Source organism: Homo sapiens, chromosome 11 (assembly GCF_000001405.40).
Source record: "Homo sapiens chromosome 11, GRCh38.p14 Primary Assembly".
Lineage (NCBI taxonomy): Eukaryota > Metazoa > Chordata > Mammalia > Primates > Hominidae > Homo > Homo sapiens.
Genome location: NC_000011.10, coordinates 72,648,529 through 72,675,501, shown reverse-complemented (window position 1 = coordinate 72,675,501; position 26,973 = coordinate 72,648,529). Strand labels below are relative to the sequence as shown.

Below are 26,973 nucleotides of genomic sequence, written 5' to 3'. Positions count from 1 at the left end.
AGCCCGAGTGCTTCTCTGAGACAAGGGATAGTGTGAGCCATGAGCTCAGCCACTGGTAGGCCAATGAATAAGTAAGTTAATGGTGAAGCCAGGATCCAAATCCCCATTTCCTGCCTCAAGGTGTGGAGCTGTTTCTCCTGCATACAATAGTAGCTCTGCTGTGACAACTCTCTATCTGTCCTAGGGCCTAAAATGCCTCTATTTCACTAGGTTATAGCTTTATCCTAGGGAGTCCTCTTTGGAAGCAGGGTGGGGGTGCAACAGGCCTTCCCCCATGCCTGTAGTCTGTGAGCAGCGAAGGCCATGTGGGGCAGGCTGTGGCCTAGGTCTCCACAGATCCTGGTAGAAGTCCATGCTCACGCATCAGCTCCAAGTCCCAGCTAAACCAAGCCACCAAGAGGTGGGCCCTGTGACAAGGCTCTGAGTCCAAAGGCCATCAGTAAAGCCCCCTAAGTCTTCCGTGGACCCAGCTCCAGGCTGGGATGCACGCTAGGAGATGATACACACCGGGTGAGGGAGCCCAGAGGAGAGGGCAGCTAGCTGTGCATGGAGGCCTGATCTCTCAGACTTGAGGGCACAAGCGTGTCCCCTCATCCTGAAGGCTTCTGCGATGGGGCAGCAGAGGGTCTGGGTCTGCTGCCCCTCAAGTCCCCAGCCCCATCCTAGCCCATGAGGATTGTAAATCCCTCGTCCTCTCCCCTCTCTCCTCTGTCAGCCACTCCCCTTTCCCCCTACCCCACTCTCTTTCTATTTCTGCCTCTGATTTTTTTTCCTTTTCTGCCTTTGTTCCTCTGTGTGTGTGTTTCTCTATGCCTCTCTGGTCTCTTTGTACTTCCATCTTGATCTCGCTAAGGCTCTGATCCCTCTCTCCTCTCCCTCTTCATGTGTTACTGTCCCCCTTCCTGTCTCTGTTTATCTCTCAGTCTCTCTGTCTGTGAGTCTTTTTTCCTCTCTCCCAGTCAGACTCTCTCTCTACCCCTCCCTCTCTCCCTCTCTCCCTCTCTGTCTGGGCCTCTCTCTGTTCCTCCTCCCTCCTCCCTCCCCCTTCTGCATTATCAGACCTGCTCCAACCTCCTCCCAGAGCCAGCCGAGCAGCAGAGGCAGTGGCAGCGGGAGAGGCGGGAGCAGCGGGGCAGCAGAGCTGGATTGGGGTGTTGAGTCCAGGCTGAGTAGGGGGCAGCCCACTGCTCTTGGTCCCTGTGCCTGCTGGGGGTGCCCTGCCCTGAACTCCAGGCAGCGGGGACAGGGCGAGGTGCCACCTTAGTCTGGCTGGGGAGGCGGACGATGAGGAGTGATGGGGCAGGCATGCGGCCACTCCATCCTCTGCAGGAGCCAGCAGTACCCGGCAGCGCGACCGGCTGAGCCGTGAGTATAGTGAGGGGCTGGGGTGGTGAGCGGCTGTGAGAGGTGCCACAGACAGGGTCCTGGGAGTCCCTCCAAGGAGCTGGGGTTGGCATGGAGCTGAGCCACGTGGAAGGATCGATCCTGTTCCTGGGCACCCCTCCTCCCCGCGTTGCCAGACTGCAGCCTGGGGTGGGGGCAGGTTACCTCTGAGCAGAATGAGGGTGTCTAACGTCAACCTAGTAGGTGATGAGGCTGGGGTCCCATGGAAGGGGCTGCTGGTTGGAGGAGGGGCTGATAATGAACCTGAACCGGTTCTTCAAGGGCTGAGGGTGTATGTGGGGAGGGGGAGGTCTGCCAAGTAGTTGGGAGGAGCTCTCGGGGCTGCAATAGGCTGGTTCAGGACCCGGAGAGGGAGAGTGTCTTGGCCCACCAAGGCTATGTGTGTGTGAAGGAGGTGGGGAGGGGGAAAGATGGAGAAAATATGAATAAGAGTGGCCCTGGAGCAAGAGAGGGTTAGAGGTAACCACCTTCCATGGAATTGGGAATTGGGGTTCAGGGACACCACTTTATGAAACTTTACCCCAAAGCGTCTGTCCCAGGATAGGGTTCTACGGAGCCAGATGGAATATGGTGCCAGCCTCGTGTGTGTCCACGTGCAGGGGGGTGCATGTGCAAGTGAGTGGGGGGCGCCGTGGCGACACCCCTCTACTAAGGGCTGCCGAGGTGGTAGGCAGGGTATGTGTGTGTGTGTGTGTGTGTATACATGTGGAATGTAAGGGACATGTTGGGTGTAGAGGGGCCTGTAGAGCTCTAGGGTCCTTGGTGGTTGGATGTAAAGCAGCCTGTCAGAGTTTGTGATCATCCCTGTGTGAGTGAGAGTTTATTCGCATGTGTCTGAGTGTGAGTGCAGGTTGGTCTGCATATGTATGTAGGTGTGTCTATTAGGTTGAGTTTGTATATTATGTGTGTTGTGTCTGCAAAATAGAGTGAATCAGTGTGCATTTTTTATCTGTTCCATGTGCATTTATGTGTGTGTATTTGTTAGTGTGTGAATAATAGCATTGCTGTGTGTGGAGGTGGATGTGGCTGTGTGCGTATAAGTATTCTGGTGTGGGTGTGTGATCATGGTGCTAGTGTGTATATCGGTGCTTCTGTGGCTGGTGTGTGTGTGTATCTATATGTGTGTATTCATCTGAGTGTGTGTGGGTGGCTGTTTCCTTCCCCTGGCAATTGAGGATACAGCTGGGACACCATGGCCCACTGATGCAGGGCAGGGAGGGGCTGAATGTATGACCGCCTCTTTGAACTCAGGACAATTCATTCTACACCCTGTGGGAAAGATGCAGAAAAGAAATAGGCAATAATGACTCTGCCCTCTGGGGCTTCCTAAGCTTCTTAGACATAAAATAGCTTGAGAATAATTAAGCAGTAGAGATCAACGTCATGCTAACAGGTGGGGGTGGGGTGGGAACTGCATAAGCAAAGGCCCTGGGCTGGGCATGTCCTGGAGCAGTGAAGACACTGTATAGAGTGGGGGGCAGGCAGGACCCACATTCAATAGAACTTTAAGATCCAGGACTCTTAGGCTTTATCCAGAGAGCCCTGGGGAGCCCAGAAAGGTTTTATATAGGGGAGAGACATGATCAGATTTGGGTTCTAGAAACCTGCCCTGGGCCAGGCATGGTGGCTCATGCCTGTAATCCCATCACTTTGGGAGGCAGAAGCAGGTGGATCACTTGAGGCCAGGAGTTTGAGACGAGACTGGCCAACATGGTGAAACCCAGTGTCTATTAGAAATACAATAAAATTAGCTGGGTGTGGTGGCACACGCCTGTAGTCCCAGCTACTTAGAAGGCTGAGGCATGAGAATATGAGAATCGCTTGAACTTGGGAGGTGGAGGTTGCAGTGAGCTGAGATTGCCTTACTGCACTTTAGCCTGGGGGTGACAAAGTGAGACTCTGTCTCAAAAGAAGAAAAAAAAAAAGAAGAAGAAAAATAAAGAAACCTGCCTCGGTGGCATTGTCTGGGTTGAACTGGAAGAGAGAGGTGGGGCCAGGAGGCTAGAGTGGAGGCCAAGCCAATACAGGGGTCAGTGAGTTCTGGAGCTTTTTGAGAACTTGGGAAAGGCTGGATAGATGAGAACAGGGAAGGGAATGTCTAGGTGGCTCAGGCTTGGACTGGGGTCAGGGGTGTAGTGCAGACATCTCAGTAAGTCAGGATCTCATGAGGGAAAAGGCTCATGGAAGGCTCAGGAAAGCTGGGCGTGGGTGGGCTGAGGTAGTGGGAGAGATCTTTGTAGTGTTTCTAGCTAGGATGCAGAGGGTCAGAGATCATGGAGCCATCTCTTGCCAGACAGGGAAACTGAGACTATGGCTTCATCACTACCCTTTGGCTGCAAGGCTGGGGCTCAACCTCTTCATCAGACCTGACCCTCAATATCATTCTCCTTCAGGCCCTGCCCGGAACCTCTTGGTTGCTGAGCTTGGTCAGCTCAGTGAGGGTTAATTGTCTTTATGCTCCCTGCACCCCCACCCCCCGCAGTCATTCCCCCTGCCCACCAAGCAGCTCCTGCCACTCTTCCTGCTTCCCACTCCAGCCTCCTGTCCCCAGGGACTGCTGATGGCTTGGCTGGGATCTAGCCAAATGGTGGGGGGTGGGGGCGGGGGTGGGGGGAAGAGCTCCCAGCAGTCCTTTACCCCTTGGTCTTAATGGACTGGGAGTCTCACCCTCAGCCATGCTGCTGTCAGGCCAGGCCTGCGCTCCCCGGGCTTCTGCTGCTTGGGCCTATGAAATCTCCCGACTCAGCATGATTCCATTGCTGCATTCATTCATTCAACCACTCAACAGGAACTTCTCAGTAGCTGCTTGGTGCCCACTTGGCTTGTCACCGGGGACACAGAGCAGACACTGACTGAGTCCCTGTTCTCAGGGAGTGCCCAGTCTGATGAAGGAGAAAGAAATGGAAAGCTGCAACCCTACAGGGTGAGCAGTGCTGTGTAGGAGGTGGGGGGCCCACAGCAAGCCTGGGCTTCAGAGGAAGAGACATTTGAGCCGGACCTTGAAGGATGGGTAGGAATCACCCAGGCAGGGAAGAGCAGAGGGAACAGTTTGTGAAGGTGGGTAGGAAAGGCACAGGGCTAGGCACCTGACTCAGTGCAGCCTCTGGGTGGGAGAAGACAGTAAGGGCGTTTGGGTCATTTTCTAGCAGTTGTTTTAGTACTCTCTACAACTTGCCCTGCAGATCTATCCAGCCTGCTGTTTGTATACCCCCGGACATAGGATGTTCATCTCTTCCCTCCTGGGCAGCCCTTCCCTTGTGGTGGTTATATCTGTCCTGGGTCTTCTCCGCAGGGCCCAGCAACTCCAGGCTACCCAGCCTGGCCTTATGTCCTTTCTCCGTCCTGTGTCACTGTCCCCTGAAGTAGGGCCAGGCTGGGGCACAATGATCCAGGAGTGGCAAGAACACATCTAGGCAGAGAGTGGGAGAAATGCGCAGCCTTTATTAACAAAAATCTGAGATGGGTGCAGGCCCTGACTCCTCTCCAAAAATAATGATAAAGAAGCAGGCATGGTCAAATAAGGGAGTGAGGACAGACAGCAGGAAGAACTTCCTACCAATGCAGAAGGGCTGTGAGTCTCTTGGTTTTATGAGAGTGGGCTGTACGTGTGAAAGGGAGGGTCTCAGAGGACAAGAGGGGGAATTGGAGGCAGAGGCACTGTCAGCCTCTGACTCTCCCATAGGTGAGTGAGTGAAGTCATCCAGGGAGAGGGAACAGAGGAGGGAGATCAGGACTCATCATTCATTCATTCAGCAGCCGTTCACTGGCCCTACCAAACATGACACCCCTGGGGGCAGATGGACAGAGCCAGTGACCACGTGGATGGAAGCTCCGAGTCTTTCCTACCTGTGTTAATGTCGCAGGAAGGTATTTAGGAGGAGGGGCCATTGGGGCTGGCCTTATAAGGAAGAGCCACTTCAGGCTGAGTTGAGGGACAGCACTAGGAAGATGGAAGAGCATTTGCAAAGGCCTCAAGGTAAGGGCAAGCAGGATTTTGTTCACTTAGCACTATAGGAGTTCAGAGTGGCCTAGGCATGAAGTGCCAGGCTGGGGGGAAGCCCTGGGCCGTGGTGGAGCAGGAGAGGAGTGGGGAATTGAGCCTAGACTGTAGGAAGCACTTTCTTCCGTGAAGGTGTCTCCAACAGGCTTGATGTGTAGGCATTATTGTAAGTTTGCAACTTCTTGGTCTCTCCTGGTGCTCGTGACCAGAGCTTGCTGAGGGACCCAGCCTTGCTTGAGAAAGGGGTGTTCAGTGAACAAAAGAGACCCTGGAAATGAGAGAGAAGCAGTGGCTGAAGAATGTGGGCCCCTTCCAGAAAGTGGCGTGCAAACAAATACAAAGCAATATGCAAATCAGCTGGCTAGGGCTTGGCAGCTTTGGTTGGAAGAAATGAGCCATCACCCCTTATTATGCCGGCCTCCTACCCCCTCTGCCCCAGCCTCCAGGACAGCCGGAACAGCCTTGTCTGCTCCTTGGAGCGCCCCAGCTTTTCTGAGACACAGGATTGTGGCCTCCAGGGTGGTGGCCGTGGGCTCCCTGTCAGCACCCTCGTCCTCCTGGGAAGTCGATATATTTAGTAACAGAAATGTTTTCACACATTTATCTCCTATTGTTCAGCTGCTTGCTCCCTGGGAAAGGCCAGGTCCCCAGTGATGTGACCCACTTCTTGAAGTCCCTGAAGTCACCCTTCTCACTGCCCCCCCACCCCGAAAAACAGGAGGCAACTGGGGCTTGGTGCAGCAGAACAGATTTGAGTCAAATATCTGGGAGGACTTCCCAACAGTGTGGTTGCTGAGATGTGTGGACCCTGGATTTCTGGGCTTTCATTCTTTGGATGGTTGCCTTGGGCGCAGAGGAGGCTTTGAAGATAGAGCAGAGAAGGTGGCAGACAGGCTTATGCTCAAATTTCAGCATACTGAAAGATGTACTGTTACTCTGTAGCTGTGTGGTCCTGGGCAAGTTACTTAACTTCTCTGAACCTTGTGTGAATAGTGGGGTGGAGATAATTATCCTTTCTTGGCAGGATGATTCTGAAGAATCTGGAAGTGCAGAGCTTAGCCCCTGGCATGCGGCAGGTGCTCACAAAGGTTAGCTACTGTCATTATGAACCACCCACGATCAGCCACACTTTCAGAAAGATTTAGCGGGGCCTGGAGAGGGAGAGACCAGAGCTAGGAGCTCAGGGCTGTCATCGTGTGGGAGGGACCAGGAGGCCTGAAACAGAGCTGTGGTTGTGGCTACGGTGAGAAGCACAAAGCTCTGTGGGAGGGACCGAGGTTTCTCAGAGAAGTGTGGCCACCTCATTAAGTTGTTCTGACTGGTCTGAGACCAATCCCCAGATAATACAATGGAAGAAAGGGCTTGGTGAAGAAGGGGTTAAGTCTGTGGCCACACCCATGCAGTCTGTGAGCCATTCTGGGAGCTGTAGTCTGTTGTGAATTTGCAGTAAGCATAGTTTGTACTGCCTCTTTTGATCCAAATCCACACCCTGCTGCCAAGGCTGGCCGAGGGCCGGCCCTGGTGGGTGCTGGGCTGTGTGGAGCCCAAAGGTGAAGCAGCATCGACCTCTTCCCTCAGGGACCCCCTGGCTTGCTATGTGTTGGGGGGTGCAGGTAGGAGCAGGGATAGAAGTATTAAGCCATAATTACGACTTCTCACATGTTCACACAGAAGTTTACAGCTTCCTGAGCACTGTTTCCACACCTGTGATCTCATTTAATCCTCACCACAAACCCAAGAGACTGCTGTTTTCTGGATGAAGAAACAGAGGATCCAGGAGGGGAAATCGCTTGCCCACAGGTATTCAGCCAGTGGAGCCAGACCTGGGGCACAAATCTGTCTGCTTCCAGAGCTCCTGCTCTTTCCATACATTACTGTTCCAGATGGCAGACAGGCAAGATGTGGACAACTAAAGTTGGATGTGAGACATCTCGGCAGAGGAACAGCTGAGCAGAGAGCTGCTGATTCCAGGCTGAGAGTTTGGACTTTGTGTTGTGGCCCACCAGGATCCACCCAAGGGTTTTCTGATTAGAGCTGAGCTTTGAGAGAATTGGTCTTGCAGCTTAGGCTGAATGGATTGAACTGGAGAAACCAAAGTCAGACTGAGGCTTCTAAATCCCATCCTTGGTGCACCCAGCACTTTGCTGCTGTCCCTCCTCCATGCTTCTTCTCAGTTTCTTCCTTCTCCTCTCCTTCATCTTCTTCCCTCACCCTTTTTTTTTTTTTTTAATAGAGACAGTGTCTTGCTGGCTGGAGTACAGTGGTGCCATAATAGCTCACTGCAGCCTCAAATTCCTGGGCTGAAGCTATCCTCCTGCCTGGGCCTCCCAAAGTGCTGGGATTACAGGTGTGAGCCACTGCACCCAGCTCATCTTCCTCTTTCTCTCCTACTCCTCTCTGCCTCAGGCTGAGGAGTGATGACTTTTATACCATAGAGCTGTGCTGTAATATCACATGTCTCCAGAAGGGGGTGCTGTCACATACAGTCCATTCCAGCCTGAATCTTCGTTGTGTTTGAAGGGCCAGTAGAAGTGTTGGACAAGTGGCAGAGATGAAGGATGGAGAGAAGGATAGCCCATTGTTCTCCACCTCCATTGAGCCCAGGACATGAGGGCCCTGCTGAAATGGCACTGGGAGGAATGAAGGCTGAGGAGAGGTTGGACCCCAACCAGAAGGGACAGACATACTGAGTTAAGCCAGAGGAAATTTTCTCCTCATGGTTCTGGGACAGGCTAAGATTTGGAAATGCATCTAGAATGACATTGCAGTTGGGGTCTGGGTTTCTTTTGGGTCATGACTTGCTTGATACTGAGGTGCTGGGGATATTGCTTGTGTCTCAGTGTGTGTATGTGTACCTGAATGTGAGCTTCCAGTTGTGCATATGTGTATGCTGATCTGAGAGGGTGAGAATGTGTGGGTCAGTGTTCGTATAAAAGTGTGAACATACTCACATGTGTGAGCATGTGAGTGTCCTTTTTTTTAGTTTAGTTTTGAGACAGGGTCTCACACTCTCACCCAGACTGGAGTGCAGTGGCGTGATCTCGGCTCACCGCAACCTCCGCATCCCAGGCTCAAGCTATTCTCCTGCCTCAGCCTCCTGAGTAGCTGGGACTACAGGCATGCACCACCACACCTGCATAATTTTTGTATTTTTAGTAGAGATGGGGTTTCACCATGTTGGCCAGGCTGGTCTTGAACTCCTGACCTCAAATGATCCACCCACCTTGGCCTCCCAAAGTACTGGGATTACAGGCATGAGCCACTGCACCCGGCTGTGACTGTCCATCTTTATGTCTGATTTTGGTAAACAGTTATATGCATGTGACTGTGGCTTGTGTGTGTGTACATGTATGTAGAGTGCCATATACATATGTTCTAGTGAAACCGTATGTGTGTTCCCTGTGTATACAGATGCCTGTGTCTCAATGTGAGCACAGGGATGAGGGGATATGTGTGTGTGAAGGCCCAGACACCTGCTGTGCTAACCTTTAAGGCCGCGCCTAATGTCTGGCTATTCAATACTTTTTCTCCTGGGTCGCGCTTTCCTGTAGGTAGAGACCCTTGAAGGGCTGGGCTTCCTTCAGGGGACTCTGGGCCAGAGTCAGGCTTTGTGTTCAGTCTCAGGTTGGGCCAGCCAGGGTCCTAGTCTATCGGATTGGGCAGCTAGACATGGCTGGGAAGTGTCTAGGTTCCATTCTCCCCAGGAACTCTTAATGGTCACACTTAAAGAGTTTCAGGGACTCCCAGCACGGTCCTCTTGTACTGATGCAACTACTGAAGTTCAGAGAGGTGCAGTGATTAACCCAAGGTCACCCAGCAGGACCCAGGATGAGATGATAGGGCTTGCAGCAGAGAGGGGAGTGTCTGACCTGGAAGGCTGCCCTCCCTCCAGCCCCTAGAGCAGGTGGGGAGCTCAGAGGAGAGCCAAGTCTGTGGTGTGAAGCCACCTCCTGCACCTGGCTATTTCCATGCCTCCTGGGCCTCAGAGGCTGCCTTTGAAGTTTTTACCAGAGCTTCTGCATGCTGTGAGATTCCTCCTGGGGACGTGTGAAGTCGACTGTTCCATGGAGCATGGAGACTCGATGGAGAGGAGCCCAGTGGTGAAGTGAGGCCAGAGGAGGGGCTTCCTCTGGAAGCCTCAATTTCTTCTTTGCAGTAGTTGCTTTTTTTTTCGTGTTTTTTTTTTGTTGTTGTTTTTTAGGTTTTCACCGTTCTAACATTCAAGGCTTTCTCTGTTATCTCTCTTTGAGCTCTTAGTACTGAGACAGTGCTGGGGTTTGGGGCAGTCCTGGAGGCCTATCTGGGCTCAAAGTGAGGGTGGCAGGGCAGTCCCTTAGGGAAAGGGCTGCGTGGGAGACAGGGATGAGCTTCCTGCCCATAGTGGGGAGGCATGAGCAGGGGCTGGACAGCCTGGTTAGCAAGGCTGTATACAAGGTACCTACCCTAGTGAGGAAGTTGGTTGCAGATTATCTTGAGTCCCTTCAAGCTGTAGCTGCCATGGGGGGCCAGAGAAGAACGTGCCTCAGCTCTCTTGGGCCTGGGGAGGATTGAGTCCACAGAGTGCTCCTGGTGTCCTGGGCAGTGGAAGGTGCAAGGTTAGACTGTGCACCTGGAAGCAGAGAGATCCCATTCCCTGGAGAACTGAAGGGAAATTTGTCTTCCTGGAGGTTTGGGGCTGGAGGCAGGGGCTGGATGGGAGGACACTCTGGGGTGGAGTGGGGGTGGGATGGGGAGGACTGGGCAAGTCCGAGGCGGCTCTGCTGTTCAGCACCCGCAGGAAGGAGCAGGGAGGCATATCCTGAATCATGCAGGGCTCTAGGGTGGGAGGCCCATGGTTGTGGGGCTCAAACATGGGCTCTGGTTGGGGCAGAGGAGAGGCTTCCTGGGGTTGGGGTCTGGGCAGGAATTGGGGTAGAAAAGGAGAGAAGCAGCAATTGGGTACCACCTCCTTCCCAGGTCAGGTAATTCGGAGTTGTCTTAAAACTCTCAGTGGGCCAGGCATAGTGGCTCGCGCCTGTAACCCAAGCACTTTGGGAGGCTGAGGTGGGTGGATCACCTGAGGTTGGGAGTTCAAGACCAGCCTGGCCAACCTGGAGAAACTCTGTCTTTACTAAAAATACAGAATTAGCTGGGCGTGGTGGTGGATGCCTGTAATCCCAGCTACTCGGGGGGCTGAGGCAGGAGAATTGCTTGAACCCAGGAGGCGGAGGTTGCAGTGAGCCTAGATTGTGCCATTGCATTCCAGCCTAGGCAACAAGAGCAAAACTCTGCCTCAAACAAAGAAACAAACAAAACCTCTCAGTGAGGGGGGATCTGGGGTCCAGATGGAGAGAACTAATGTTTACAGAGTGACCTTTAAGTTTTAAAAATGATTATTTAAGGAGGCGATTAAACAAATCGCCTCCTTAAATAATCCTTCCAGGGAGGCCGGGCACGGTGGCTCACACCTGTAATCCCAGTACTTTGGGAGGCTGAGGTGGGCGGATCACGAGGTCAGGAGATCGAGACCATCCTGGCTAACACGGTGAAACCCCGTCTCTACTAAAAATACAAAAAATTAACCGGGCGTGGTGGGGGGCGCCTGTAGTCCCAGCTACTCGGGAGGCTGAGGCAGGATAATGGCATGAACTCAGGAGGCGGAGCTTGCAGTGAGCCGAGATTGTGCCACTGCACTCCAGCCTGAGGGACAGAGCAAGACTCCGTCTCAAAAAAAAAAAAAAAAAAAAAAAAAAATCCTTCAAGGGGCTAGCCCTATTTTGTAGAGGGGAAACAGATGACAAACTTAAATGGTTTAACTGAAGACAGTTAGTGAAGCAAGTATTATGGAGATGGGGAAGGCTTAAGGGAACCAGCAGGACATGTCAAGTTACTCAGGACTGGCATCCAAGGGGCCAGGGGCGTTGGCAGAGGGGGGCCGAGGAGAGTGCCCCAGCTCCATGAGCCAGAGCCCTGGAGATGGGGCTGCCCTGCAGGAGCTGTGGCTGCAGCCACTGCTTGTCAAAGGAGGCAGGTGGGTGAGGGGGTGAATACCCACCATGAGCCTGCATGCTTCTCACCCTTTGCTCTCCTGCCAGTACCCTGACCCTCACTGGCAGAATTTCTCTGGATGCCAGGGGGCAAGGGAGCCCTGGATGAAGCTGCCACTTAGAAGTCGGCCTCTGGGGCACACAACCCAGCAGCAAAAGTTAGAGATTGGATGTGGAGGGACAAAGAGATGATGGGAAACCGAAGAACAGAGAGGGCATGGACTTGCCCAAGGTCACACAGCCTGTTGATATCAGAATTGGAGTCAGAAGCCAGGCTCTGCCTCTGAACACTCACTTTTTTGTTTGTTTGGTTTTCTTTTTTTTCTTTCTTTTTTTTTTTTTTTTGAGACAGTCTTGCTCTGTCGCCCAGGCTGGAGTGCAGTGGTGCGATCTTGTCTCACTGCAACCTCCACCTCCTGGGTTCAAGTGATTGTCCTGCCTCAGCCTCCCAAGTAGCTGGGATCACAGGCACCTGCCAGCATGCCTGGCTAATTTTTGTACTTTTGGTAGAGACGGGGTTTCACCATATTGGCCAGGCTGGTCTCGAACTCCTGCCCTCAGGTGATCTGCCCGCCTTGACCTCCCAAAGTGCTGGGATTACAGGCGTGAACCACTGCACCTGGCCTGAACACTCACTTTGTCACATTCACTGAGGTCTCCTGAGTGGACTCATATGCGCATTATCTACTCTCTGGCTGAGAGCTGCTTCCTGCCGTGATCACCGCGCTCTGTATCTGGGCAGCACAGGGGCTGCTGAAGAATGTCATTCTCAGAACGCAGTGTGCCCTGGAGCCCCCCAAGCCACCTGTTCATTCATCCCAACTGGCCTTGAGGGTGCCCTGGTGTGCCCTGCCTGTGCTTGTCACCCTGGCCATGGAGATGGACCCAAAAGCCCTTGCTCTCCGCTTCATTAGAGACAGGCACACCCAGACGCAGGCAATCAATTTTGTCGGGTGAGTGCTGGGACCGCTGATGAGGACCCTTCCTGAGGAGGCGATGCTGGGTCTTAGCCTTAAAGAACAACTGAGAGTTTTCCAGGTGGAGGAGAAAAGGAAGGGTATTCCAGGCAAAAATCCCCGTAAGAGCAAAGGTGTGAGCAGCAAGAAATCAAGGGTGGCAGGTTCATGGCTCCTGGGCTGGAGGAAGGGCCTGGCGGTGGAGAGGAAGGGAGTGAAGGCCCAGCTCACAAAGGGAAGCAGAGGAAAGTTTAAGCAGGGTCAGGCCATGGTTAGCTTTGGGGTTAGGAAGCTCCAAATGATGGGTGAAGTAGGGGGGCTAGACCCAGGTGAGAGGCAGTATTGCGGTTGGCCAAGGACATGTGAGTTGCATAAATGGGCCAGAGGAGGGGTGACAGCCGCTACTTCCCGGCTCACCTGCCTGAGCTAAGGCCCTAGTTCCTCAGTGTCTGCCCACCAATGCAGGTGTGTGGCAGCTCTAGACCCTCCTCTAGGGACATCCCTCCCTGCCTCATGCTGCCTGTGGCTTTCACTCTCTGGAGCACTCATCCATGGCACCCATAAGCCACCCCCTCAGACAATGGCCCCTAAAGCAAAACTGTGTCACCGTTGCATATCTCTTGATAACACTCTGACCCCTCCACTGCCAAATCTGATAAAAGAACTCCCTTTGAAGACCTTCCTCCTGGAGTCGGATCTCAGTCCTTCTTGCTGTCCAGAGCCTGGGCCTTGGGCCTCCCTGGGAGGCGAGTCAGTGAGGGCAGCCCCCTTATGGTGCTGGGAGTTGAGGGACCTTGGCCCAGCCAACTCATCCCTGTTGTGTCAGCCTCTCTGGGCCTGGGCAGCCAACTCATTTTCAGTGCTAATTAGCATCTCCCCTGCAGCTTTCTGCCCCACTCTAAGTGCTTGACAATCATTAGGTGTTACTGTGTGCAACTGGATCCCAGCTCCGGCACCTCCCTGCCCCAGCTTCTCCTCCAGACCCCAGCTGCCTGAGATAAGGGACCTGGCCACAAACATACAACACACCGAAACCCGGACACAATCTAGGCATAGGGACTTGAACACCAACATAAATATACAAAGAGGAAAAACCCAATAACACAGAAGAACTCCCCATACCAGGAAGCAGACCATAGCACAGACAGAGACCCACAGTACACACACAACACAGACACCAACAGATGCTGAAAAGCAGACACAGGATCATTCCAAAAAGTGACCCAGAAACGAAAACAGAACAAATGGGAACATCAATGCACATGACACAGGTATACACATCTAGATATGCAACACAGGTACGATTCAGCACATGTGTGGCGCATCGCAGGGAAGCACTTGCACTTGAAGTATACACAGATGCCAAGATAGTCAGAGGGAGCCGCCTGTGGTTCCCCACCTGTGCAGCGTCTCTCGCCTCTGGGCTGCCGCACATGCTGTTGCCCGGAATTCCCTTCCCCAAGGCCCTCCTCTTTTTACCTGGCTAATTCCTGTCATTCTTCAGATCTTCTAGGAAGACTTCTGCCTCCTTGATAGGGGCCTTTCCATACTCCCCAGCCTTGGAGTGCTTCCTGCCACATGGCATCACTGACTGTTTTCCAATGAGTTTCTGTCAAGTTTTGGGATGAAGGATTTTGCCTGTGCTCGTTGAGGTGGTGACTGTGGGTGTGAGTGGGTGATTAGGGCCAAAAAACCCCCCCAAAAAACTGGACAGAGGCAAATTTGGGGGGAAATGAGTTAGGAATAGCTGTGAGGAGCCCCAGCTACTCAGGGCCTCAGAAGATATTTATTTCTGTATTTATTTATTTATTGAGACAGAGTCTTGCTCTGTCACCCAGGCTGGAGGGCAGTGGCGCTATCCTGGCCCACTGCAACCTCCACCTCCCAGGTTCAGGCGATTCTCCTTCCTCAGCCTCCCGAGTAGCTGGGATTACAGGTGCGCACCACCATGCCTGGCTAATTTTTCTATTTTTAGCAGAGACGGGGTTTCACCATGTTGGCCAGGCTGGTCTTCAACTTCTGAGCTCAGGTGATCCTCCTGCCTCGGCCTCCCAAAGTGCTGAGATTACAGGTGTGAGCCACTGCACCTGACCTCAGAAGACATTGAAACCCACAGAGAGGACACAGCCAGATGCCCTCTGCCTCATTTTCTCAGACCCTGCCTGATTTCTCTTATGTTTCTTCTAGGCTTGCTCCCTGACCCAGTTCCCTCCTTCCCAGAGCTGGCCTTGCCCCTTGCCACCTCTCGGAGCTCACACATACTCACTCACCTTCTCTGCTTGGCTGTGCCCTACCCCTACTTCTACGTGCAGTGAAATCCTTGTTATTCAAGGCCTGAGGTCAGTGGGCACATCATCCATGCCTGGCGTCCTAACCCGTGCCACTGAGTATCGTGAAGGGAGGTAGTGGAGGGACGTGCTTGGGAGCACAAGCCTTGAGGACTGTCTCTTGGTTCAGATCTCTGCTCCTCTACTTCTTAGCTGCAGGATTGTGCAAGTTCTGCCACCTTTGTTCCCTCATCTGTAGAAAGGAGAGGATAATAGAGCCCACCTCATTAGGGCAGCCATGAGGATTAAATGAGACACAGTGTGTAATGTACCTGGCTCCCTCTCCAGGTTGCGTGAGAGCAGGGAGAAAGCTAATGAGATCAAGGATGTGCAAATGCACTCAGAAGGTGCCTAGTGAGTCCTTGCTAACTGGCACTTAGTGAAACAAACACCTCCTGTGTGAGCACCTAATATGTGCCTCTGTAGTGGGCTCTGTGACCCGCCCCTCCTTAGTTTCTGCATGGCTGCCAGTTCTGCACAGCTGTTACTGCTGTGGGGGCTTAGAAGGTGGGGGTATGACTACTTTTTCTGAATTTATTTTTAATTTTTTACATCTGTTTTATGGAGGCATAATTTACATACAGTAAAATCACCAATTTAAAGTGTATAATGAGTTTTGATAAATATATATGGTCATAACCACCATGACAATTAAGAAAAGAATATTTTTATCCTGGCAAACTTCCCTTGTGCCCTTTGTAGTCAGTCCCTTTGAGGGGGACTTCTTATAGGAGTGTGAGAAGTACTGGGTTTTCCTTGGGCTGCAAACCTGGGCACATGGAGTGGGGGTGCCTCCAACATGCTGGAAGTTGCCAGGGAACTGCTGACCCTCTCTGGGCCTTGGTTCCTGGCAGAGGCAGTGCAGCCAGGCAGGGGAAGGGATGCTTAGGCCTTGGTCTCCTGAGGGCAAGCCTTGGATGTGAGGGTTGGATCGGCTGGAAGTGGTGGCTTCAGAAACCCATAGAGTGGGTGACAGGGTAGGGACTTGGTGTTTCCACAAACCCGCCCCTCCTTTGACCAGGTGTGCCCTGTGGTCCTGGTGGAAATGGCTATATATTGTCCAGACTGTAGCAGGGGCTGGCCAAGATGGTCCACTCCTCTCCCCATCCTCCTCCAACCAGAGGCCATAAACCCCACTCTATAGATTAACAATTCCCTGAAAAGAAGGGGGTCACTTTTGTTCCCCAGTTCTAGAACTAAATATTAAAGCAATTATGTAACTAGCAATAAATTACTTAAAGTAGTGACTCACTCAGCTTAATTAGAGCGCAAGCAGGGAGGGATTAAGGTATTTTTAGAGCACACACCTCACTCTCTCCTGTGGGGGAGGCCTCTGTGCAAGGTGGGGGTGGAAAAAAGGCTGGGAACTCATGGGAGCACCCCAGGTGTCTGCAAGGAGATGAAAGCTGATCCTCCGCCCCACTGAGGTCCTAAGGAAGAAAGGCCGAGTCAGAGCTGCAGCAGGAGGGATTCGGATCAGACTCAAGAACACTTCCCAGTGGTGCTTATTTGAGAACTGGGACGGCAACACTAGATTGTAAACTCTGTGAGGGCAGGGATTAGGTCTGTGACTGCCTCCTCACCCAGCGGGAGACCAAGAATGAGACTTGGGAGTCAGACACAACTGGGTGTGACTCCTGCCTTTGCGGGTTGCCAGCACGTGGGCTTGGGCAGGTTCCTTTATCACCAGAAGCTTTGCCGTCTCCTCCACTATAAAGTGGGCACAATAACATCCACCTGCATGCATATTATAAGGATTGAGTGGGTTAAAATGTGCAAAGCAAGACTTTGTGCTCAGCTGGGCACAGCGGCTCACACCTGTAATCCCAGTACTTTGGGAGGCTGAGACAGAGTGCTTCAGCCCAGTAGTTTTGAGACCAGCCTGGGAAACATAGGGAGACCCTGTCTCTTAAAAGAAAAAAAAAATTAGAAGACTCGGTGCTGACTCTGCTAGACCAAAAGCCCACAAAGGCAGGGATTAGGTTTGGTTTGTGTTGTTCATTGTTGTATCTCAAGCTTCATTCATAGGACTGCACAAAGTAGGTGTTCAGTAAATGCTTTGTTGTGTGACTGCGTGTTAATTTTGTTCCCATTCTCCTGCTCCAAAAAAAAGTTCATTTTCCTGAGGTTGTGAGTGAAGAAAATAGGCAGTGTGGGCTGGGTGTGGTGTCTCATGCCTGTAATCCCCAGCACTTTGGGAAGCTGAGGCGGGAGGATCACTTGAGGCCAGGAGTTCAAGACCAGCCTGGGTAACTTAGCGAGATCCCATCTCTACTTCAAAAAAATTTAAAACAGAAAAAATCTAGGGTGTGTGGGGGGGCAGGTGGGGAGGTTGCAGGGGTGCCTCACAGGTGGGAGTCTGGCATTTCTCCTCCAGGCTGAGGAGGTGGTGACTTCCAGGGAAAGTCCTGGGAGGGATCAGAACCACAGCTCCAGCCTGCTTGGATGAGGGTGGTCTTCTGGCTGCCAGGAGGGTAGCTAGGTGGGAAGATCTGCCCTTGTTTCCTCCATAACCTGGGGTGGGAGGAGGAGGAGCTCCCAGCCCAATCTGATGGGGGAGACCAGAACCCTCACCCACCATTGCTGGCAGTTCAGAGAAGGCAGCGATAAGTCGGGGTGGGGCATCCTGAAAGGCTTCCCAGAGGATTGGATGGGAGGATTAGCTGAGAAGACATCCGGCATCCGTAAAATGGAGTAATGATTCTGACCCTGCAGGTTTTCTGGGAGGATTAAATGAGTTACATTTTAAAGATGCCTGGTACATGCCTGCCAGGAGAAGGCACAACATATGAACTCCCTCCCTCTTCCCTCCACCCCTCCTCAGCTCCTGTGACATCAGGAGGGACATGCCCTGCCCTGCTCACAGAGGCTGGGTGGGAGGCTCCCATCATGGCCTTCACTGAGGCTGCCTCTGCAGTTGGACCAAGCTGGACACACAGTAGGTGCACATAACAGATGGGGGCAGGTCTGTGCTTGTTTTACCAGGGTGTTGGGAGGCTGAGGGAAGGGCACAGCTGGATTGGGGTGATGGAGTTCAATCCCTGCTCCTCCCCCAGATCCAAGATCCTAAGACGCCTATGTCCAGTGGCTGCTCTGATCAGCTCTGACCAGCTCTCCTCACACCTCATAGGCCTTCCAGGGTTCAGGTGATGAATTAGTGATGACAGCATCCAGCATCGCTATGACAACCACATGGCACTCTTAGCCTCCAGTCAGGGCTCAGCCGCAGAGGCCAGAGACCCCTTTGGCTCTGGGCCTTTGTACTGGCGTGTGTGAGCGGGGCTGGGGCCTGAGGGAGATGGAGGAGTGGGAGGGGCAGGGGCCGGGGCATGGGGCTGCATCTGGCATGGACTGGAGTTCATTCAGATTGTTCCATCCAGAGGGACCTTGGGGACAGTTGTTTCTCTCCTTCCTTCCCCCTTTCTTTTCATTCCTCCATCCCTCCTCTTTCCCCTCCTCCCACTTCTTCTGAGCCTTGTTCCTGTTTGAGGCCCTGGGCTGCCAACCCTTTTCCCCTCCTCTGGGAATAAAGCCAGGCTCAGCCCTCACCCCGGGGAGCTGAGTGAGGTGGGGGACAGCCACCTTCTGGTCTAGGCCTCAGGGAAGGTGTGTGGGGACCACTGATGGCTTGGTGAGAGGGCCTGACCCAGCTGGGCCAGGGGCTGTGCAAGTGGCTGCTGACCCTGATGAGTGGGGAGGAGGTTTTCAGTAGAGAGGCAGGGTCAGAGATGAAGCAGCGTGGGATGGGGGAGCGACAGATGTTCAGAGTGGCCTAAGTGTGAGATGCGGAGCAGAGAACGTGGGAGGAATCGAGGCTCGAGAAGGACTGGGAGAGAGTGGATGCAGTGAGGAGTTTGAAGTTTGTCCCTGGGGGAAGAGGAGCCCTGAAGATTTTTGTTGTTGCTTCTTTGATTTTTAAATGGGAGGGTTCATTTTAGAGATGGGGAAACAGGCCCAGGGTGGGAAAGTGACTTGCTCAAGCTTAAGTCACTAGAGACAGACTGAGAGTACAGGCTCTGCTTGGGTCCTGCTGGACTCTAGCTGGGACCTCTTGCCCCAGACTTGCTGGCCAGGATTTTCCCAGGTAATCACTACCTCCGAGAAAGGCGAGGAGAGCCCATGGGTGACTTTGCCCTCAGTTTGAATGAAATTTGCATCAGCAAGGGCTATGCCGATAGTCCTTTCTGCTCGTGTCTGGCCTGTTTGGGGGTGGGAGTGGGGTGGAGGTGAGCATCCAGGGAAGGATCTGGGAAGTCAGGGGCTTGCCAGGGCCAGCAAGGCATTAGGGTCAGAGATGGATTCAAACTTGGGTCTTTGGAGACCCAGCCCAGACTCTGTGCTCCATCTCCTTCCTCCGTCTCTCAGGAGCCTTTGGCTGAGTTAGGCACCTACAGGAGGCAAGGGCCCCCCCGAGCCCCTCACATTCTCCTCAGGGCTCCTTCTGGCCCTGGGGCCTGATATTGGGCCTGCTGTGCTGGAACTTATCCAGGCAGAATAAACCTTTAGCCCCATTGTCCTGATGAAGAAACTGAGGTCCCGAGGTAACAGTGACTCATTCAGGGTTACAACAGGTCAGTGGCTGGGCTGGGCCTAGCGTCTGGCCCTCAGCTTGTCTACATGGCCCCCCTCGTGGCTCTCCCCTCGCCTCTCGCACCCCACTGTGCAGCATGGTTGGGCCTGCCAGCCTTGATGGATGGCTCTGCAGCTCAACCTCCCTCCCATTCCTCTCCGGATGCCGGGCCGTGAGCCTCCTAATCACCAGTCCTGCCTGGTGGCCGCCAAGCCATCCATCTCCCCACACAGCCTTGCCCAGCACAGGTGATTTTGTTTGGGGAGAAGGGGGGCACAGCAGGTCTTCCTCTGAGGCTGAGCCAAGAGTTTGGCTGCAGCCCCCACTCTGGGGGGCCCGAGGGTTAGGGAATAGCCTGCACTCCCTTGCTGGAGTGTCAGAAATCCCTCCTGAATCTCCCTAGGGCACGTGCACATGCACACACAGGCACACACACTCACAGTAACACTAATAAAAGCTCTCGTGTAGCAAAAGAATATTGTATGGCAAGTATTGTTGCAGAGCCATATGTATCATCTCATTCATCACTCCACTGTAGAGATACAGAAACTCAGGCTCAGAGAGGTTAAGTGACTTGCATAGGCTCCATATCCAGGAAATGGAGGAGCTGGGATTTGAACCCACATCCTTATGGCTCACATCTTGCATTCACAACTCCTGCTCTACTGACTCACCTGTGCACACACACACACATGCACACACACACACGTGCGTGCACACACACACACAGGCACTCACTTGCATGCATGAGCACGAGCCACCATTTTGGCTCTTGTACCATCCATCTACCTGGGCCAGGTTCTTGAGGAGTGAGGAGAATGCTGGGCTGCAGAGGGCATGAGGGGTCACTGCTCATTGTCCCCAGGCTGCCTCACCCTGGCTGTGGCACTGGCTGGCTGGGGAGCTGCAGGGAGGCAGCAGCCTCCAGGCAGTGGAAAGGGGAGGCTGGGAGACAGTCGATCGATCATCCCTGCAGTGCCTCCTTCCAGGAACTGGGGCCCAGGGGAGTGTGGCGCCACGGGTCGATGTTCTGGGCAGCAGCACAGTCTCTGAGTGCGTACAGGGTGTGTGTGGGGCGAGGCTGGTGTGCAGCTGCCCGCCTTCCCCTGGCTCCCTTCCCCTGCTCCTGCCTTCCTCCTGCCATTCACCTGCCAGCCCCACACCTTCCCCTGATTCCCCCACTGTCCCCAACCTGGGCACTACAGAGGCTGAGAATCAAACTCCCAGTTCCCAGGCACCTGTGTGCCTGCTGCTACCATCCCGCCCTGCCCTAGAGGCAGGTCTCGGGTGGGTGCTGCAAGAGTCACCCTATGGTGGTTGGGGATGGGTGGGTAGGGGGACCGGGGGCTGGAGCTGTGGGGATGTGAGGCAAGCCCACCTCAGAGCCTTTGGAGACCTCGACAGACAAAACGATGAGTTAAGAAATGTAAAGGGGCACATAGTGGGTGCTGAATTCATCTTGTCTCGTTCCTCCAGTAAGAGTCTGGAGAAACCAAGAGCAGCTGGGTGCCTCTGAGGGCACAGGAGCTCCCAGGGCTGGCTGGCAGGTGCAGCTAACAGTGTTAGCAATCCCAAGGACAGGTAGCTTGGGGCGGAGGAGAGCATGCTGTCACCCATCCTGATGAGGGGAGAGATGTCTGGTGCTAGGAGCAGTGGTGGCCGGAGGAGGGCTGGGGACCCACCCCAGGCCACCCCACACTCTCCCTCTGGGAGGGGCTCCTGAGCAGGCCTGGTCACCTTGCTTCTTGGCTGCTTCTTCCCCGGCGGAGGAGCCTCCCCCAGGCTCTCCCACCTGCACTGGCCTCAAGAGAGCTGGGATTGAGCCCCAGTTCAGGCACCTGCTGGCTGGCAGAGGTTAGGGCAAATCACTTTCCTCAGCCCTCTCATCCGTGACAGGCTCTGGTGAGGGTTAAATGAGATGTTGCCCGTCAAGTGCCTGCCACTTCCCTGACGCCGAGCAGCTAGGCTGCTCTGGGTTCTCTAGCACCTGCCTCCCCTGGTCCCAGCGCTGGGTGGGCGGCTGTGTTCTACCGGTCACTGGTGGGTCCTCAGGGCCCCGACACAGGGCCTGCTATTGGGAAAGAGGGAAGTAAACATCCCAGGGCTGGAGCTCTGCCCACTATGGAGGTGTTCCATCTTAGGCTCTGTAATCTCCTCATTCACTCTGGTATGGGGACAAATGTGCCTCTCTGCACTAACTGAGCCCCCATGGGCAACTAGGAGTGGTGTCACTTGGGGTGGAGGTGGGCAAGGATCTCTGGACTGGGATTTCCAAGCCCTGACTTCCTGTTATTTCAGGCACTACCTCATTGTTCCATCTTGGGCAAGACCTGTCCCCTTGAGGGTAAGAGACACATGTGACCTCTGACCTCCAGAGTCTCTCTTCTGAGCTTCTGTGCCCAGATGATTCTGTGTTCTAGGGGACAGGCGAGGCTGGGGGGTGACCCCCATGCCACTGATGGGCAGACTAAGGAGCAGGGGCCCAGGACTGGGGCCAGCTCAGGACTCTGGTGGCCTCGGTGCCCTTGACCTGGTATTGCTGCCGTTTTGCCCCACTGCTGTCTGTCTCCGCGTCCGAGTCACCACCTGTCCCTCTCCAGTCCTCTCCTCTCTTCCTTTATTACTATCTCTATATTGCCTCCTGCCTCAGGCTTATCTCCTCCTGTCATGCCTCTATCCACCTCTGTCACTCCCCTGCGACTCTGCCTCACTCCCTGGCACACCCTCTCCCTCCCTGGGAGTCGGGAGTGGAGCCTCGCTGGGAATCAGGACCCCCCTGCCTCTGGTCTCTGTCTAAGCAGTCTCTGCGATTCTGGCCAGCTCTTATCTTTTTCCACCTTCCCGAATCTCTCTTGCTGTCTGATGGTGTCTCTGCCTTTCACTGTCTCTGAACTCCCTTTGTTTTTCTCTATATGCTTCTCTCTGCTCTTATCTCTGGGCCTCTGTCTCTCAGGGCCTGACTGGTCTTGACCTCTTTGCCTCCTTCTTCCCCTCGAGAGCCCAGCCAGGCAGCAGGTCCAGCCCTCCAGCCCAGAGAACAGATGGAGTCCACCCTCCCTCTCTCTTGCTGGCTGCCTCGGAAGCCCCAAACAATGGCCTCCGCCCTGCACCGTGCCTTGTTGCTAGGCCTTGGGCTGGCAGCACCTGGCTTCCATAGCGACGGGTGCTTAGAAACAGAATGCCACATCTCCCAGTCCCACCACAGGAGCCTTTGCCGATTGAGCGAGTGCCTTTTGATCAATCAGGAAGTGTGGCCAGGCTCTAGGTTGCCTCCAACTTGAGGAGGCAAGAGAGGAGGGGACTGTGGTCTCTGCCTTCTGGAGCTGGGGGGACTGCTGGGCTGGGAGGAGTTGCTCAAGTACAGCCCTGAAGCCAAGGAAGGACTGGGGGAGGCCCTGGGCTCTTTTCCCCAAGTCAGCCTGCTGCAAGAGGCACAAGCTTGGGAGCTGGAAGGGGCTGTGTTGAAATTGCTGTTCCATCATTTCTAGCTGCATGACTTTGGACGAATGACCTCAGGTCCCAGGGCCTCAGTTTCATCAACTGTAAAATTGGGCTAATAATATCATGAAGATTAAATGAGAGAATAGATCTGGCACTTAGTAGGTGGTCATCAATGGCCATTCCCCTCCCTTCCCCTTTAAAGTTGTTTAAAATTTAATTGACAGAGAGGAGAAGGAGGGTTCTTCAGGCCTGTGGAATGGTGTAAGCAAAGGGGTGGAGGCTGGCATGCACCTCACATATGCTGGAGTATTTAGGGAGGACCAGGGGCCATATCTGGAAATGGTTCTGCCAGAAGCAGCCAGGCCAAGCTGGGTGCCATGTCATGCACCTGTAATTCCAGCTACTAGGGAGGCTGAGGCAGGAGGATCACTTGAGCCCTGGAGTTCCAGATCAGCCTGGGCAACATAGTGAGACCCCATCTCAAAAAAACAAAACACAACAGGCAGGCTGATGGGCCCATGGAGAAGGGACTCTGTCTCCTGGGAGGTATATTCTTGCCAGGTGCAAAGGGATGGGCTTGACTAATTTCTCCTCTAGCATTTGGGGCTGCTGGGTAGGGAGCTACATTGGGGTCCCCTTGCTTATTCTCATGCTGCTCCCTACTTCTGCCCTGTCACTTGGTCCCAGGAGAGGGGCTCCCACTGGTTCCTTTTCCCTGCCAGGCCTGCCCACCAAGGCCACCATGGCCACACAGCCTGAATCCTGGGGCCAGCAAGTGTCCATGGAAGGCCCCACTCTGTCATCGTAGAGATCAGGAAACAGGCTCAGAAGTAGGAGGGCTTCCTGGTCCTAGGGCCCAGCTCTTCCCTCTTTTCAGGCCTGTCTTCTGCACTAAGGACTTCAGGCCACCAGGGAAGGTGGGGAGGGAGGAAAGGAGATGAGATAGACTTGGGCGGGGGCCTGAGGACAGAGTTTCATGTCACTTGGGCAGCCAGGAAAGGGTTAAAGATCCCTTATCCCAAGCCATGGGCACTGGCACTGCCAGAGGATGCTGAGGCCTGCTGGGGCATAAGGACAACAAGCAACATCCTTTTCTGAGCTGTTGGGAGTGCCAAGCTCTCTGTTAAATACTTTTGAGCCTCTTCTCATGTATTCACAGCCACCTTTCAAGGAAGGCCAGTTGATCCCCAGTTTAGAAGTGAGAAAACGGGGTCTCCAGGAGGCACTTGTCTAAGGTGACACAGCTGGAGAGTTGGAGATGGTGGTTAGACCGAGTCACCCCCCCAGACCCTGGCCTCTCCCTGCGTGCCCCTTCCAGGACACCCATCACTCCCTTGACACCCCTTGGGAGTGGGTGTTCATTTCCTTGGGCTCTCCCAATCCCAGTCCTTGGTATCCCCAACTGCAGGCAGACACAGGTGCTTGCTGCTGTGCCCTCCCCTTTACCTGGCATCACAGAGACTCAAGCCCACTGACCATTAGGCTCTCAGGGGCATAGAAACCAGGTGCTGGAGTCTTAGAGTCCTGCAATCAGGCATCTCAGGCAGTCAGGACATTAGAATGTTAGAATCTTGGGCTTCTACATTCTCAAGACCCCAGGTTCTCGCATTCACAGAATGTAAGAAAAACAGACTTTTTGAATGATGGGGTGTTATAACAGAAGCTTTGATTTTCTAAGAACATGAAGCTCTGGGAGTTCTTGGAGCCTTGAAGCCATAGACTGGGGCCTCCCTGTGTGATGGTTTCTGAGTTAGCAGGGAGTGTTCAGAGTATGGGGCCTTGGTCCCTGTTGCTTAGACCTTCTTGCCTTGGTATCTCTGATGGGCTCAGCTCTTAGTAGCCTTTGTGTATGTGTGTGTGTGTGTGTGTGTGTGTGTGTGTGTGTGTGTGTGTGTGTGTGTAGTGGGGACTGGGGTCAGGGGTCAGGGACTGACTCTAACCTGAGGCACCCCTGGAGTGGGGCCAGCCCAGGAATAGCAGGTGGAGGAAAGCCGGGCAGCCTCAGGGCTGCAGCTGTCTGGTGGTACAGGGCAGGGCTCTGGGTGGCTGCCTTTGGCAGAGGACCAGCCTGCCTCCTTCGTCCCCTACCCAGCCTGCTACCAGGATCAGGAGGAGGCATCTCCATGGGACTCCTAGGGCTGGAGTCAGAGCAGCCCCTCCAGGTTCTGCAGCCTGGACGGTAGGAGGTGCCACTAAGGGGAGGAGATTGGGGAAGGATTGGGACCTTTATCTGCGGTGAGGTGGGGCACGGGGGGATGAGAGATATAGTGGGAGTCTTTGAAGGGTGTGGGATCAGTGAAGGGGCTGGGGATTTAGTGATGGGCTGGGGCTTAGGATGGAGCCAAGGGCTCTGTGGGTGGGAGACCTTTTGAGAGGGTGGAGACTCAGAGAGAAGGATGGGGGCTCAGCAAGGGGATGTGGCTCAGTGGAGGTTGCTGAAGAGTTTCTTGGGGTTGGCTACACGCGGTGGCTCACGCCTGTAATCCCAGCACTTTGGGAGGCCAAGGCAGATGGATCACTTGAGGTCAGGACTTCAAGACCAGCCTGGCCAACATGGTGAAACCCTGCCTCTACCAAAAAATACAAATATTAGCCGGGCGTAATGGCAGGCGCCTGTAATCTCAGCTACTCGGGAGGCTGAGGCAGGAGAATTGCTTGAACCTGAGAGGCGGAGGTTGCAGTGAGTCGAGATTGTACCACTGCACTCCAGCCCTGGGCGACAGAGCAAGACTCCATCTAAAAAAAAAAAAAAAAAAAAGTCTCAGGGCTGTCTCTGCACTGCTCCAGGTTCCTGAGGACGGCGGTTGGGGCTGGGGGAGTCTTCTGTCCCTGGGGTAGGCTGAGAAGCAAGAGCTCCTTTTCCCAACTCTGCCCAAAGCTGGAAAGGTTGTTAGAGCTGCTAAGAAAGCTGGCATCTGCCTCTCCTTTTGCTCATCTTCCTTTCTGGTTTCCATGGGAATCTGTGGCTCAGGATGATCAGGGGTTGACAGGATGGCGCTGTGGAAGGAGTCTGTGTCAGGCACAGCCATCCCACATGGGAAGGAGCCGGCTGGTAAGAAAGTGAGTTCCCTGTCCCTGGGAGTGTGCAAGCAGGGTAGGGGCTGAATGGCTAGAGTGACTCCAGAAAGGGGTTCAGATGGGGCAGAGGAAGCAGTCTGGAGGCCACTTCCCTGAGACAATCATGTTTTGTGTGATTGGCTCTGGGGGCCCCACCAGCCCCACCTTCCAGACGTCCCTGGGCCTCACAAAGGGGGTTGCTGCACCCTAGGCACTGCCTCTGATCCAGCCCCAACTCCTGTGCTCTGTGCCTGGCCTATGCTGAACACGGACATGTGCAGCTGAATCAGATTCAGTCTCTGCCTAGAGGAGCCCCAGTCTGATGGGGGAGGCACACAGGGACACAAATATAGCTGGGTAAGTCCTACAAAAGGGGGCATACCTGGCTGGGAGGCAGTTCCATCACTGATTCCTGTAGTCTGTAGATGTCTTTTTGAGCAATTCTTCTGGGTCAAGACTTGTTCTTATTTGCTGGGATAAAACAGCAGTGAGCAAAACAGAGCTGACAGCATGGTGGGAAGGTTGAGCTCTTCCAGACCGTGATGAGAAGTATTGGTGAGTGGTGGGGAGAGTGGCCAGAAGGCAGAGTGTGGGCGCAGCATGAGAGGAGGCTTTGTCCAGACTTAAGGACCTGGAAGGCCTTGAAGGCCAGGACCAGGGCTCCAATTGTCCTGCTGGCAATAGGAAGCCATATGGGTGGGGGTGAGGCAGAATCAGATTTAGGTGTGGAAAAGATGACTCCAGCCAGTGTGGGCATCGAAGAGGAGGCACAGAAGCAGGCGTGGCCACCTGTGCCTCTGTGTAGGAGCTGTGTGAGCATGTGCTTGAGGATGTGTGTCTGTGTAGAGGACTGGGGTGTAGGCGTGATAGGAACATGGACGTGTATCTATGGAAAGACTCCAATTGTGCATAGGGGTGTATGTGTGTAAGATTCTGTGGCCCAGGGCAGCCTGTGAAAAGGAAGGATCTTGGGGTCTGTGGATGATGGGGAGCAGAGACTAAGGCCTAAGGTATGCTGGGGCTCGAGCCCCCTGGACTTTATCCCCTGTGAGCTGGCAGGTCTTAGACTAGTCCTGGACTAGAATCCTATGGGTTCCCTTCCCCCAGAGGGTCATGGGGCCAGCCATCTGCTGCAGACAAGACAAACATGCATGCAAATCACATGAAAATGGATGAGGCCTGTGGCTGACCC

At 53.9% G+C, this 26,973-nt stretch overlaps 1 protein-coding gene and 1 long non-coding RNA gene across 3 annotated transcripts in view, besides 10 other annotated features; one reads left to right on the top strand and one right to left on the bottom strand.

Annotated features, from left to right (window-relative positions):
* Positions 7 to 631: an enhancer, noted in NCBI's record as "H3K4me1 hESC enhancer chr11:72385915-72386539 (GRCh37/hg19 assembly coordinates)". NCBI's record gives its function as "activates a minimal SCP1, AML or CMV promoter by ChIP-STARR-seq in naive H9 embryonic stem cells {active_cell/tissue: H9 hESC(naive)}" and the evidence as "EXISTENCE:reporter gene assay evidence [ECO:0000049][PMID:30033119]".
* Positions 632 to 1,258: an enhancer, noted in NCBI's record as "H3K4me1 hESC enhancer chr11:72385288-72385914 (GRCh37/hg19 assembly coordinates)". NCBI's record gives its function as "activates a minimal SCP1, AML or CMV promoter by ChIP-STARR-seq in naive and primed H9 embryonic stem cells {active_cell/tissue: H9 hESC(naive and primed)}" and the evidence as "EXISTENCE:reporter gene assay evidence [ECO:0000049][PMID:30033119]".
* The window catches only part of PDE2A (phosphodiesterase 2A), a 98,282-nt gene continuing 72,388 nt past the window's right edge, over positions 1,080 to 26,973 (top strand). The window contains exons 1-2 of one of the 2 annotated variants that reach the window (NM_001146209.3): positions 6,438 to 6,492; positions 7,076 to 7,204. In NM_001146209.3, coding sequence (NP_001139681.1) covers positions 7,161 to 7,204 — 44 coding nt within the window. In that variant the 5' untranslated portion in view covers positions 6,438 to 6,492; positions 7,076 to 7,160. Of the gene's footprint in view, positions 1,366 to 6,437; positions 6,493 to 7,075; positions 7,205 to 26,973 lie in introns of those variants that run through there. The other variant, NM_002599.5, reaches the window with a different exon arrangement.
* Positions 1,259 to 1,884: an enhancer, noted in NCBI's record as "H3K4me1 hESC enhancer chr11:72384662-72385287 (GRCh37/hg19 assembly coordinates)". NCBI's record gives its function as "activates a minimal SCP1, AML or CMV promoter by ChIP-STARR-seq in primed H9 embryonic stem cells {active_cell/tissue: H9 hESC(primed)}" and the evidence as "EXISTENCE:reporter gene assay evidence [ECO:0000049][PMID:30033119]".
* Positions 1,885 to 2,511: an enhancer, noted in NCBI's record as "H3K4me1 hESC enhancer chr11:72384035-72384661 (GRCh37/hg19 assembly coordinates)". NCBI's record gives its function as "activates a minimal SCP1, AML or CMV promoter by ChIP-STARR-seq in primed H9 embryonic stem cells {active_cell/tissue: H9 hESC(primed)}" and the evidence as "EXISTENCE:reporter gene assay evidence [ECO:0000049][PMID:30033119]".
* Positions 5,586 to 14,739, bottom strand: PDE2A-AS1 (PDE2A antisense RNA 1). The gene is made up of 3 exons (XR_001748293.2): positions 14,657 to 14,739; positions 9,847 to 9,978; positions 5,586 to 5,672 (listed from the first exon to the last, which is right to left on the bottom strand). It is a non-coding gene; the product is annotated as a PDE2A antisense RNA 1 (long non-coding RNA).
* Positions 6,822 to 6,881: an enhancer, noted in NCBI's record as "active region_5193". NCBI's record gives its function as "activates an Ori minimal core promoter by ATAC-STARR-seq in GM12878 lymphoblastoid cells {active_cell/tissue: GM12878}" and the evidence as "EXISTENCE:reporter gene assay evidence [ECO:0000049][PMID:35858748]".
* Positions 6,936 to 7,440: an enhancer, noted in NCBI's record as "H3K4me1 hESC enhancer chr11:72379106-72379610 (GRCh37/hg19 assembly coordinates)". NCBI's record gives its function as "activates a minimal SCP1, AML or CMV promoter by ChIP-STARR-seq in primed H9 embryonic stem cells {active_cell/tissue: H9 hESC(primed)}" and the evidence as "EXISTENCE:reporter gene assay evidence [ECO:0000049][PMID:30033119]".
* Positions 10,853 to 11,515: an enhancer, noted in NCBI's record as "H3K4me1 hESC enhancer chr11:72375031-72375693 (GRCh37/hg19 assembly coordinates)". NCBI's record gives its function as "activates a minimal SCP1, AML or CMV promoter by ChIP-STARR-seq in primed H9 embryonic stem cells {active_cell/tissue: H9 hESC(primed)}" and the evidence as "EXISTENCE:reporter gene assay evidence [ECO:0000049][PMID:30033119]".
* Positions 12,845 to 13,509: an enhancer, noted in NCBI's record as "H3K4me1 hESC enhancer chr11:72373037-72373701 (GRCh37/hg19 assembly coordinates)". NCBI's record gives its function as "activates a minimal SCP1, AML or CMV promoter by ChIP-STARR-seq in naive H9 embryonic stem cells {active_cell/tissue: H9 hESC(naive)}" and the evidence as "EXISTENCE:reporter gene assay evidence [ECO:0000049][PMID:30033119]".
* Positions 18,344 to 18,845: an enhancer, noted in NCBI's record as "H3K4me1 hESC enhancer chr11:72367701-72368202 (GRCh37/hg19 assembly coordinates)". NCBI's record gives its function as "activates a minimal SCP1, AML or CMV promoter by ChIP-STARR-seq in primed H9 embryonic stem cells {active_cell/tissue: H9 hESC(primed)}" and the evidence as "EXISTENCE:reporter gene assay evidence [ECO:0000049][PMID:30033119]".
* Positions 22,193 to 22,738: an enhancer, noted in NCBI's record as "H3K4me1 hESC enhancer chr11:72363808-72364353 (GRCh37/hg19 assembly coordinates)". NCBI's record gives its function as "activates a minimal SCP1, AML or CMV promoter by ChIP-STARR-seq in naive H9 embryonic stem cells {active_cell/tissue: H9 hESC(naive)}" and the evidence as "EXISTENCE:reporter gene assay evidence [ECO:0000049][PMID:30033119]".